Here is a 13,768-nt window from a genome sequence, read left to right as displayed (position 1 = left end):
AGCACACGACAATTTTCAAAAACACTCTCCTATATGGTAACTGAACTGATCCTTACACTATGTGCCAGCCACTTTTTAAAAACAGCTTTGTTGAAGTATTATTTATATACTGTAAAATTCACTTTTTAAAAAGAAATGGGGCCTCACTATGTTGCCCAGGCTGGACTCAGACTTCTGATCTCAAGTGATCTTCTCACCTTGGCCTCCCAGGTAGATGGGACTGCAGGTGACTTCACTTGTTTTGGTTGAAACTAAAAGTTTAATTCTGTTTAGTAATGTTATGAAGCTGTGCAACCACAGTCCAATTTTATAATTTTTTTTCTTGTTTTTTTGAGACAGAGTCGGCTCTGTTGCCTGGGCTTGAGTGCAGTGGTACAATCGTGGCTCACTGCAACCTCTGTCTCCTGGGTTCAAGCGATTCTCATGCCTCAGCCTCCTGAGTAGCTGGGATCACAGGCGAGTGCCACCAGGCCTGGCTATTTTTGTATTTTTAGTAGAGATGGGGTTTCACTATGTTGGCCAGGCTGGTCTCGAACTCCTGACCTCAGGTGATCCACCCGCCTTAGCCTCCCAACAAGCTGGGATTACAGGCGTGAGCCACTTCGCCCTGCCCAATTTTATAATGTTTCTATCACTGTAAAAAGATCCCCTGGTACCCATCTGCAGTCACTCTTCACTTCCACCCCAGATTAAGGTGACCATCAATCTACTTCGTGTCTTTGTAGTTTTGCCTTCAGATAAATGGAATTATGCAATATGTGGTCTTTCGTGTGGGGCTTTTTTTACTTCGCATACTGTCTTTGAGGTCCATCCACATACTGTCTTTGAGGTCCATCCATGCTGTAGCAGGTAGGCATGTGTGTTCTTTTCCCCTGCTGGGTATTATTTAATTGCATGGATATACTGTTTTTGTTTTTCCATTCACCAGTTGCTGGACATTTTGGTTGTTTTTAGTTTTGCCACCAGGTTCCCTTCCTGTTATTGTGCCGTTTTGCAGCTGGACAAACTTGAGTTCTGAGGATTATTACTGTCCCCACTCGAAAGCTGAAATTCCTTGCTGTTTAACCTGCCACAAAGTTTCAGAGCCAGACTCGAACCCCGTCAACTCAATTCCAAACCCATCCATGGTCCCTGATAACCCTTGGCTTCAGCTACGAGTCTGAGCACCCGTTTTTTTTCCCATTTGCTTTTTTTTGGTTGGTTTGTTTTGTTTTTGTTTTTGTTTTGTTTTGAGAGAAGGTCTTGTTGCTCTGTTACCCAGAGTGGAGTGCAGTGGCACAATCTCTGCTCACTGCACCCTCGGCCTCCCAGGCTCGAGGGATCCTCCCACCTCAGCCTCCCAGGTAACTGGGACTACAGGTGCACACCACCACACCTGGCTAATTTTTGTATTTTTGAAATAGAGACGGGGTTTCATCATGTTGCCCAGGCTGATCTCAAATTCCTGGGCTCAAGCAATCCACCTGCCTTAGCCTCCCAAAGGGCTGGGATTATAGGCATGCGCCACCGCACCTGGCCCCATTTGCTTTTGAGAATCCCTATCCTTTTGCTACTGCAGCTTTCCCACAGAGGGGCAGCCACCAGCCACGAAGAACTTTCTGAGGCTGCTGAGGCCAGGAAATCAATTTAAATTGAATAGTGGCTCACTATCTCTCAAGAGACAGGGGCTCACTTCCTGCAGCGGGAAAGAGGACCATGATGTGTGGTTTGGGCTTAACCCGATTCCCCCAGGTAGGAGAGCCAGGAACACACTGAACACTGCTCTTCAGTGTTAATTAAAGAAAGCTCCCAGATGCTGAGAGACTAGACCCAGAAACAAGCCGCTCCCAGGCATATAGACTGTGTTTTCTGCTCTCCGTTCTCTCTTCCACAGTGTTGGGGAGACAGTGCAGGCTGTTCTGGGGACTGATTGCTCATAGCAGTGCTAGGACATCCACTTTCTCCACCTGCTGCCCCAGGTCTCCAGCCCCCAGGGCAGGACTGCTCCAGGGTGCAGAGTTCAGGCCATGGTTGGGAGATGGGGGCAAGGCGGGAGCCCCCATCTGTGGGTCCACGCTCACTGTGGTTGTGGCGGGATGGTGAGGTCAGAGCTTGCCTTGTCCCCCTTGGTTTGGAAGGCCTGCTCCAGAGAGGCAGGTCTGGGTGGGAACTGCAGACGAGGACCTGCCCGGAGCTACCCCAAGATGATGAACAGCCCAGCATGGGGTACAGGTTGGTCTGTGCTGGTGTTGGGCTGTCTAGCCGGGTGAGTCCCTGGTCAGGAAGGGAAGTGTGGGTGTGACGGGGAGTCCTGTACCCTTGACCTCCAGCCATCAGCTGCTCTGAGCTCCTGTCTCAAGAGGATGCTCATCTTTCCTGGGAAGCAACATGGGTCGGGGAGGGCATTGGACAGGGACTCAGCCAGACCTGGAGGGACCCTGGCCCTGTCGCTGTCCATGTGACACTGGCCCAGGCTCTCCTCCTTTCTGAACTTGTGTGTCCAAACCTGTGGAATGGGGTGGGACACCTGCCCTCGTACCTGCTAAGTATGTTTCAACTGCCTGAAAGAGAAGGGAAAGCTCCCTGGGATTAGAGCCCAGGCTCCAGGGATCCGGTGGTTTCACTGTGACCTGCTCGGAGTATAAAAGCCTCTCACTTTTCTGGATTCCTTCCCGAGCCCCAGGAAATGGCAAGTGCAGGTGCCTGCAGGGCCTGGGAGAGAATGCAACAGTTCTGTCCAGGCACTTGGAGTTGAAATGCTCCCTGTTTGATTCCTCCAGAGCTGGTTTGTTGGTTTTAGCTGGTGATTATAAATCAAAGGCCAAGTGCTCAGGAAGCCACTTCTACAGAGGCATTAATGAAGCCGAAGGGAGTGTGGGCTGGAGATGGCTTTTTTGGAACAGGGAATCTCAATGATTCTCCTATCCTAGCTGTGCTATTATGGCACCCAAATTAGCAGCTGGTCCTGTTAAAAATCAAAGACACTGTGAAATGAGGTCTGGGCAGCCATTAAAAATGATGTAGCAGCTTGTAATGATGGGAAACGCTATTGATAGTGTATAAAGTGCAGCTAGCAAGCTGCCTGTGTAGTTTACAGTGTAATCACTGATACATCGTATATTTTATTATTTTTTTCCTTTTTTTTTTTTTTTTTTGCTCAGGCTGGTCTCAAACTCCTAGCTTCAAGGGATCCTCTCACCTTGGCCTATATATTTTAATTTGTAATTTATAACTTTACATTTTTAATGTATAAAATGTTAAATATGTCATGTTTAAATATATTATAATTCTATTTTATAAAATATTGATTACTGATATTTCTGTACTGACAGTTTATATTTAAGTAGTTATGACCCAGTGGGCACTGACCACATGCCAGTTGTGTAGCCAGCCCTTGCTGTGTCTTAGAGTCCTCCAGCAACCTTGTGAGGCAGATCCTCATCTTCTCCCCATTTCACAGATGAGGAAACGAGGCTGAGGAAGGTTCAATGATTGCCCAAGGTTGCATGGCTCGGAGGTGAAGTAGCCAGGGTCTTTGCACCTCCAGGCCCCTGCTCTCTGTGCTGTTCTATCAGCTCACACTTCCTCTGTGTCTGTGCAGAAGGGGGTGGGAGGCTAGAAGAAAAGGTGCCTCGATGGAGCTTCATTGTCTCAGGGGTAGGTAGGTTATTTATTAGTGATTAAAGTTTTCCTTTAGACATTTGTGGATTTTCTAAAATGTCACATACGACTATGTAGAGGAGATAAAATAACAGCAACAACAATGACTTTTCCTCTACCCTCTTAGGTTCAGTGACTTGGGCCTGAGAATCAAACTGTTAAAAGACGATTGAACAGGAGAAAATATTTCACATGCAAGTGAGGGTTTCACAGGCAAGAAGTGAAAACCCAAAGAAGGGGTTATATACTATTTTAACAAAAGGCAGTAAATCTTGGAGAAGCAACTAGACTAAGAAAAAAGGAGGTTATGACTTCTAAGGGCAGTAAATTGTTGGAAGGTAAATATATGGGGGGAGCTAATGGAAGGTTAGGGTTATTTAATAAGGGTTATTGAGTAAGATTTGTTATGCAAACTCAAGCTGCCTAATAAAAGTGGTCCACATCACCTGTGATTAAGAGTTGTCCTCCTCTTCTTGGTATGAGAAAGAGATACCTTCACAAATGGAATTTTATGTTACTTTTACAAAGAAAACTTTTCTTTTTTTTTTAGAGAAGGTCTCGCTCTGTCGCCCAGGCTGGAGTGCAGGGTGTAACCATAGCTCACTCAACCTCCACCTCTCCACCTCCTGGGCTCAAACGATCCTCCCACTTCAACCTCTTGAGTAGCTGGGACCACAGGCGTGCACCATCAGGCTCGGCTAATTTTTTTAACTTTTTGTATAGATGGGGTCTCCCTATGTTGCCTTGGCTAGTCTTGAACTCCTAGACTTAAGTGATCCTCTCGCTTCAGCCTCCCAAAGTGCTGGGATTACAGGCATGAGTCACAGATCCCTGCTTTCAGAAAGGGGGAGGGCAGAGAGCTTATTGATTTCAGCTCAAATTAATCTTTATGCCAAAGTGGCATATTTGCGGATAGCATAATCCAATCTCCTTTCATTGTATATTACATTTAAACCAGGAAAAAAAATGTGATGACGTTTCTTGTTTTAAATGTCCTAACTTTAAGGACACAATTTAAAGGGGAAAGAGTTGTGCGCTTAAAATGTCCACCGTGAACTTATCTGTTGGGTAGAAAACCCATATGCCATTGATATCATAACTAAGGAAAGGACTGAAAAGCCACTCAGATTAAACAGGCATTAAAAATGACAGACTTTGGGGAGCAGGGGTGGATGGAGCAGCCCAGAAAAGACGAGTGAGCTGGCACAAGACACAACCCTGGGAGGCCACAGAGGAAACTGGAAGGGGAAGGAAATGGGAGGGGAACAGAGTCACTTGGAGCTGGAGCAGAGGGAGCCAGGGCCAGGACACAGTGGTTTGTGGCAGACAAAGAGTGGGGCTGTAGGCTGTGGACTTCTGTGGTGGACGTTGTTCCATTCATGCCATTTTAAAATGAGGAGGAGCCAAGGGGGAGATAATCAATCAATTCATTTACTTTAACAGGGAAAACAGGCCTGGTGCAGTGGCTCACACCTGTAATCCCAGCACTTTGGGAGGCCGAGGCGGGCAGATTGCTTGAGCCCCAGAGTTCGAGATCAGCCTGGGCAACATGACAAAACCCCACTTATACAAAAAAATACAAAAAACAGCCAGGCATGGTGGTGCGTGCCTGTAGTTCCAGCTCCTCGGGAAGCTGAGGATGGGAGGATCACCTTAACCCAGGAGGCAGAGGTTGTAGTGAGCCATGATCACACCACTAGACTCCAGCCTGGGAGACAGAGTGATGCCCTGTTTCAAAATTGTATTAAATTAAATTAAATTTTAAAAAGGAAAACAAAGAAAAGCAAACTAAACTTATGATGTGCCACCCAAATCATTGTTTCATTACAAAATAAGAAAAGTGTCCTCTTCCCACAGTGGTGAAACTGTGTAGTTGTACAAAGAACACAGAATTCAGTTGAACGTGCTATGTCCGTGTGTGAAAAATACATGTAAAGGGCTTTGAAATCTTAGAAGTTAGTAAGGAGCACACAGCATCAGCAGCTAGGGTTTATCAAGTGCCTACTGAATGCCAGGCACTGTGCTAAGATTGTCACAATGATTTGATAATTGTATCACTATTAGTCCCCGGCATTTGAAGATTGCTGGCCCCATTCTAAGCACTTTTCATGCCTTAGCTCATGTAGACTCAAAACAACCCGGTGAGATGAGGAAACTGAAACACAGAGCAGGGAAATAAACAACTACTTAGTAATGTGAGCTGGGCACCGTGATTACCTACATTCCACTGGATAAGAAATTGACAGGAGATGAGGTAACTAACGCAAGGTCGGGGGGTACAAGCGCAGCAAACATTGAGACACATTGTACGGAGGGGTGTTTCTTTTAAACTGTTGTTTTGTGATGCTGGGCTGGGTGTTGGGGTTTATCCTAATTTGAACCATTTACAAGATGCTGCAGCATGGGGAATTTACCATCACTTCTTGCCTAAGGTCAGGTCTTAATAACAGCTTTGGCTAAACTTTCGTTAAAAAGGAAATGTGTGTAGCCAAGCAGGTAGCTTTCTGTGATCTCATTTGAAACCGGGCTGGTGTTTCAAGAACAGGCATCCACGTGGCTTTAGCCGAGGGCAGCAGCCAGGAGGGAGGGGTGGGGGGACAGGGCAGGATTGGAAGCAGTTACCTGCTGAACGGTGCTGAGCTAGCAATAGGTGGAAACAGAATGGAGGCCTGAATGGATGGGTCAGGGAAGGCTTCCTGGAGGAGGCAGGGTTCACAGCAGCACCAGAGTGGATGGACCAGGAGGGAGGGTGGGCCAGGCAGCAAGGCGATGAGCACCGAAGCTTAATGACCAGAAGGAAGGTGATGATTGTGCAGTTTGGTGCAGACGTGCACTTGATGCCAACTTTTTGCCTGTGCTTTGCAGCAGTGTGGGGGCTTTAGGTGGTAGAAGGCGTTTTGGGTTTTGGTTTTAAATTCAGGCTTCCTTTCAGTCACCTTGGAACCTGAGAGGCTACTAATTCAGAGTTCTGGATCCATAGGAGATGGCCCTTCAAGGGTGATTTTGAGTTACTGACCTTGTCACTTTTACCTGGTGGGCAGGGAAGAGATCAGATCTGTTTTGATGGGTAAGAACAAAAGGTGAGGTGGTTGAAGAAGATGTGGAAAGGGCCCACGGTGCACTTTGTTCTGAAATTGCAGTGACTGGGGGTGACTCGGATCAGCCCATCAAAGTGACACCCCTCTTCAGGTGGCCCAATCATCAAAGGTGGGGGAAAGGGCTGGGAGCTAGGGGGCCAGTCTTTTGTCCTGTCTCTGACTTGTAACATTTATTTCCCTTCCCATTCACCATAAGTATGAGGCAACAGTACACAAAACGGAGCAGGATGAAAAATAACCCAGAGAACTCTGTGTGATAGGAAAGCACGGGTGAAAAGATGAATTGATGAGAAAGTTATCCACATGATGCATCATATCAAAAGGTCTGTTCATGTTGTAGGTGGTGGGACACTGGTTTGATTCTGAGCTTCCTGGTGGCCAAGGCAAAGAGGCAAACCCAGAGGCTTGAGGACCCTCTCTACTGTCTCAAAAGACATTCTCGTCATCTTTATGAGCAACAAACAGCAAGTTTCATCATGCTGTTTCCCACAAAATCCCTCAATTCCTGAAGGTCTGCCCCAAAGCACAAGTCAGTAAAAGCAGCTCTTCAGGGCCAAAGCAAGTGAATGCTTGTGAATGATACAAGCTGCTAGGTGCGATTACTGTTGTAGCGGGGATTTATGCATCAGAGGACTGGCTTTTCTAAACCTGGTTTCTAGAGTCAGAGGCACTTTTTAAAGCTGGAATTCTCAACAAGGGTTTTTCCTAACTGCCTTCAGAAACTGGCCAGTCTTCAGAAATGAAGTGATGTGCAAAAGTGAAGTGTGCCTGGCACATAGTAGGTGCCCAGTTAAGGTTTGTTGTTACTGTGGTTGGATAAAGCCAGTCTGCCTGGTTGAATCTCACTCTCATGCTTGCTATGCAACATCAAAAGCTCTTTTCTGGGAAGAGGCCCATTAGGAGCATTTGTCAGGGGTGTGATGCTGATAGCAGGTGGATTATTGAGAGATTTGCTGCAGAGCAAACACCGAGCTCAAGGCATCCTAATATGTATGTATGTTTGAGGTTCAAGGAAAAGTGCAGGTAAAGAAAATGGGCAGAACTCTGAGAGCAGTCTGTAGAAAAAGAGAACTCGACCACTGGGAGAAAGGCAGATGGCTGCACAGTTGTGCTTCTTTGAATGCTACTGGCCTGACTGAAGACAGAGCTGCATTCCAGCATGATTGTAGCCCAAGTTGGCATCAGAAGCCACCTTCCAGTCACCCTGCAGATCGGGAAATATGTACTGTTGAAGTCTGGTGGTAATTTGAGGGCTTCCACAGTATCATTTTAGAGAGGATCCCTATTCTTAGCTGTGCAGATTGCTCTAAATTACATTGAGCACTTCATATTCTTGAGAAACCAGCTGCCACTGCAGGAAATCAGAGAATACTACAGCTGGAGGCACCTCAGGAATCGCCATGTCCTTGTCTTACAAGGGACGAAACTGATGCCCTGACCTGAATAGTGAATTCACAGTAGAATATTAACACTACAGCAGAGGCTGACTCCCGCAGTCCATATCATTTATTGGTATGTTAATGATTAAGTGAAATATTGCAAACAACTTCAAGGTGCATCAATAGAGCATTGGTTAAATAAATAATGGTACGTCCATAAGACAAGATGTATGGGTGGAAATATTTTCACATGGACCATTAAGAAAGAATGAGGTTGATGGACTTTTATTGCTGTGGAAGGATGTCCATGACATATTGATGAGGAAAAGAAGCAATTTGCAAATAACATGCATGTGTCTCTGTATGTGTGTCTACATATAGGTATGTGTATGTATAGAGGTGGTTATCTCCAGGTGGTAGGATTCCAGATTATTTTTACCTTCTTTAGAGATTTTGTGCAGTGTTTAGCCTTTTTTTTTCTTGTTTCCTTTCTATGAGTGTGGATTTGTTATAATAAAAAGTTACATTAATGTTTTTTTTTTTTGAGACGGAGTCTCACTCAGTCGCCCAGGCTGGAGTGCAGTGGTGCCATCTCGGCTCACTGCAAGCTCCGCCTCCCAGGTTCACACCATTCTCCCGCCTCAGGCTCCCGAGTAGCTGGGACTACAGGCGCCCACCACCACGCCCGGGCAATTTTTTTTTTGTATTTTTAGTAGAGACGGGGTTTCACCGTTTTAGCCAGGATGGTCTTGATCTCCTGACCTCATGATCCGCCTGCCTCGGCCTCCCAAAGTGCTGGGATTACAGGCGTGAGCCACCGCACCTGGCCTATATTAATTTTTAAACATGTTAATTGCTCATTTAAAATAGGTTTCAAAAAAATTATCAAGGAAATACATGTTTATGGCACAAAACTTGGAAAACTATTTTAAAAACTAGAAAGAGAAAAAAGAATCCCATCCAAATCTACCATTCAGAGCATCGTGGGCAGCCCTCCTAGGCTTGTTTGCTGTACATCTTGCTGGGATTTTGTAAGAAGAATCCCTTCTGAAAACTGCATGAAATTCTCTTAGATCTAGATACCGGCATTTACCAGATGGGTTTCCTAGATGTTAGACATCTCATTCTAGTTTTTCCTTATATAGTAGAGGACATCTTTGTGCGTATATGTTTGTCTACACTGTTTTCTTGGCAGTTTCTAAATGTGGGTCTCCTGGTCAAAAGCGCAGGCATTGTTAAAGCCCTCGGTACGCATTTTCCAGTTGCTTTTAAAAGCTGTCTCTCAATTTACATTCCAACCTGAAGCACAAGGGAGTGCCTATTTGACCCCGATCTCATGGACGTGATGACTGTCTTTTAAAAATACTTACTAATTAATGAATCATCTTTGAGCACGCCTGGCAACCTGGAGGCTGGTGCAGAGCTCTGGGGTGCTGTGGGCATCATATCATATTGGCTTCCTGACCTTGGCATCCCTTCCAGCTGACTCCAATAAAGATCCCAGGGGAATGAGGGACAGAGGCCCCAAGTATCGTAACTTATAGGTTGAAGGCAGTTCTCCCTAAACCCAAATGGTATTTGTATGTGTGTAGTGGGGGGATTTAAGTAATTTTAAAGTTTACCTAAAGGATAAGCTGGAGACAATTACTGAGAATTTTTTGAAAAATGGGAGTGATGAAACAGAGTTTGCCCTTGCAGATAATAAGATTTAAGTATTTTATAAAAATAGAAAGAGAAGATAATATAGGCCAAAGCTTATCTGATTTAAGAATGAGGGAAAGACTTACCAGACATAGACTATAAAGGAGCTACAGAAGAAAAATAGAAATAGCATTTTGAATTCTATTTTAAATTAAAAAAAAGCGTGAGCAAAATTTGAAGCTATTTGTTTGCTAAGAACACATATTTGCAACATATAGAAAAAATGATTACTATCCCTTGTATATATTCCTTCATTTAACATTTCTTAAGTGCTTATAATGGTTGATGCACTGTTATAAATGCTGGGAATTCAAAAAATATATTAAATACTTTTATATTTCCATAAGAAAGAGATTGAACCTAATGAAAAAATAGATTAAAGTGTAAGCAATTTACAAAAGGAAAGGTAGAAATGGCCAATAAGCATATGAAAAAAATGCTAAGCTCCGTAATAATCATGAGCGTGTCAATTAGTTCAACAATGAGACATGATTATTCACTCTAAAAGTTAAAAAATTTTAGAACGATTGAACTGAATTTTGACCAGTTGAAGGGTAAACTGGTTAAAACGTTTTGGACACAATTTGATAACAGTTGTTTAAGATTATTAATATGATATATAATTTGATCTAGAAATTCTAGGACTCTATCCTATGCATTGAATTAGAGATGTGGCCAAATTTTATGACAAAAAGTGCTTATCACAGTATTACTACACACACATACACACACACACAAATAGACTCGACCAAGAGCTTTAACATTTGAGTAATAGTTTAATAAATTAAGGCACACTTATACAATGGAATAGTATGTAGATATTCAAAACTTTTTTCTAAGAATATTTAATGCCTGTTACTAGTTAAAAATATGATATGAAATGATATAAATTTTAAAATATATGTGTTCAAAAACATATCTTTTATACATGTTTTTATAACGCAATGTTATATAAAATGTTTTATAATGCAATGCTCATACACATATATACATATAAAGGACCGAACCCGTGTAAAAAATGTCTGGAAGGATGCAGAGCAGATTGTTAACTTTGGGTAGGAGGCTCTTATTTCAATTTTTAATTTTAAATTATTAATATTTTGTTTTTAAAATTTTGCTATGAGGGAGTACTGCTTTTGTAAATAAGGAGATATTTTAGGAAGTTAGTGTGAGATAAAAAATATGATTAATATTAAATATACACAAGCACCTAGCAAAACACACAGGAGAAAATAGCATTATGATGAATAGGAACTATATTTTTATTCTTATTTGTATTTTCTAAATCTTCTACAACAAATAAATGTAGCTTTTATAGCTGGCAAGTAAACCACAGCTATCATTATAACATGCGTAACATATTGAGATGACCCTTCTGATCGTTTTTCCAGGCTCAGGGTGGCCCAAAATTCAGGAAACATAGGATACACTTATTTTAAAACATTATATTTGTTATACCTCCAAATTCTGGGCTCAATATGTTTTTCTTTAACTGCTAGACACTTTTTCAGGCGTAGTACCTCTACATTTGAAGCAATGGGTCCAATTGTTAACCTGAACAAAGTACAATAAATAATCACTATTTAACCCTTGTTTCCCGAATTTCTGGATACTCTGAAATGTGTTTGTTGCACTGGGAGTTGCAGAAAAACATATTGCAATAGTATTCAAAAATGTCTTGTGCTGTTTATCTAAACATGGTCCAAACATTTTGGAAAATAGTTTGGCAGTTTCTTAGGCAATTAAACATACACCTACCGTACAACACGATAATTGCCCTCCTAGGTATTTGCCCAAGAGAAGTGAAAGCATATGTTGCTACGCAGCTTGTACACAAAAGCTCACGTCAGCACTGCTCGTTAACAGCCCCAAACTGGAAACCACCCTGATGTCCACTAATGGAGAAAGAGATGAATGGCGATATATGTACATCTACATGTGTATCCGCATTTCTCTGCAATACAAAAGGAGCAAACCACTGCTAACACAGTGTGGACTCCCAGACCATGACTGTGAGGGAAGAAGGCGGAAACGAGTGTGCAGCGTGCAATTTCATTTTTATCGTATTCTGGAAATGACAACGGTAAGCTATAGGGACAGTGTCAGTGACAGTGGTTGTGTGGGGTTGGGGCAGGGAGTGTGGTCGCACAGGGCGGGAGGCACTTGATGGGGTGAGGAGAGGTTCTATATCTTAATTTAAGTCGTTGCATGGGTATTTGTCAAAACTCATCCAACTGTCCACTTAAAATGGGTGTATTTTATTGTACGTACATTATCTCTCATCAAAGTTGATTTTTTTTTAAGCGAGCTTATTCCATGCAGGGCCAGCTACAGAATTACAAAGTAAGATGGTGGCAGCAGAGTGTTAAACCAAGCTTGGGGCCCTGCACGTGAAGCTGGCCCTGATACTGTTTCCTGACTTTTCTGATACCAGGGGTGTGTGTGTGTGTGTGTGTGTGTGTGTGTGTGAGAGAGAGAGAGAGTACTTTACATAAATGGTATCTTACTATCAATGCAGTTTTTAAATTTATTTTTTAACTCAATAATAATGGGCTGGGGTCGCCTCTCCAAGCCAATAAATTGAGCTCTGCGTCATTCTCTGCAGAGCATCCCGCTGTGGGTGTGTCTAACCGACGAACCCATCTCCCTTTGATAGCCTTTGAGGATGTTTTCCATTTCTCACACTCAGCATCACTCAGCCCCATGCAGTGCAGAGCTCTCTCTGTACAGCAGCCGTTTCTGAGCCCTCTGGCAGCAGCCTGGGCCCCTCCTCCCCAGGCGTGGTCTCCGGGTGCTGCTCGGAGGTTGTTTGCCTTGAGCATTTCCCTTCCCGCCTTCTCTTTGTCTTGAGCTTTAAATAGAATGGTTAGAGCTCTAGAATGATCGACTTTCTTAGCTCAGAGGCTGCTGCCACCACACCCTATCCAGGGCCCCTGGAGCCTGAGCCCTGGCACCTGAATTATGCCCTGTCACTCCAGAGGCCTGGAAGGAGTTGCAGGAGGCACAGCCAGGGCTCCTTAGGGGCCAAGAATCCATGCCCCCAGCATTGTCATCCAACGTTCCCCGCATTCCCCTCAGCCCTGCCATGCCCTGTGAAGGGCTCTAAGCCTTGGGATTTCCAGAATCTACCACAAGACAGCTTTATATCTCCATAGCAAGGGGCACTTCTCTGTTTCAAAAGAGCCTCAACCTGTATTTTCACCATATACAGCTTCACGTTGACTTCCCACGCCCAGAACTATTTTTGGGCTGCTGGCTCTTAGGGTCTGCCCACACGAACTGATCGGTGCTGTCAGGGGACTTGGGGTCACCCTCTGCTGGCCACGTGTCAGGCCACGCAGTGTTTATAGCCCTCAGGGCTGTTTGAAGTGGGAGAGGGACAGTGGCTTCTGACTAGCTTCCGTGGCCTTGGGAAAGTCTGCTGCCCTGTCCCCTTCCACTTTTGCTATATAATGTGATCTGTGTCTTAGGTGGGCCTTATGGAGAAAACTTAACAGTCCAAAATGTCAAGGTCTTGTTTCTTTTTCTTTTTCAAAAAAAATTTTATTTTGTTTTATTTTTGAGACAGAGTCTTACTCTGTTGCCAAAGCTGGAGTGCAGTGGCACGATCTCAGCTCACTGCAACCTCCACCTCCCAGGTTCAAGTGATTCTCCTGCCTCAGCCTCTTGACTAGCTGGGACTACAGGCACCCATCACCACGCTGGGCTAATTTTTATATTTCTGGTAGAGACAGGGTTTCATCATGTTGGCCAGGCTGGTCTCGAACTCCTGGCCTCAAGTGACCAGCCCGCCTCAGCCTCCCAAAGTGCTGGGATTACAGACGTGAGCCACTGGGCCCAGCCAAGGTCTTATTCCTTTTCTTCCACAACAGGAGGCACTTTCCTCAATTTAGAAGGAATTTAGTCTGTCCTGCCAGGGCATCTGACCTGGGCTCCCCACAGCACCAGCAA

The 13,768-nt window shown here is 44.2% G+C and overlaps 1 long non-coding RNA gene across 2 annotated transcripts in view; it reads left to right on the top strand.

Annotated features, from left to right (window-relative positions):
- Positions 1-13,768, top strand: part of LOC105369325 (uncharacterized) — a 63,496-nt gene that overhangs the window by 37,393 nt on the left and 12,335 nt on the right. Inside the window, exon 1 of one of the 2 annotated variants that reach the window (NR_188503.1) lies at positions 11,628-11,900. The exons of the other annotated variant lie outside the window; for it this stretch is intronic. This is a non-coding gene — a long non-coding RNA (uncharacterized LOC105369325). Of the gene's footprint in view, positions 1-11,627; positions 11,901-13,768 lie in introns of those variants that run through there. 2 annotated transcript variants of the gene reach the window in all.

This window comes from Homo sapiens, chromosome 11, assembly GCF_000001405.40.
Source record: "Homo sapiens chromosome 11, GRCh38.p14 Primary Assembly".
Classification (NCBI taxonomy): domain Eukaryota; kingdom Metazoa; phylum Chordata; class Mammalia; order Primates; family Hominidae; genus Homo; species Homo sapiens.
The sequence above is the reverse complement of the archived record's forward strand: the minus strand, read 5'-3'. Positions and strand labels throughout refer to the sequence as shown.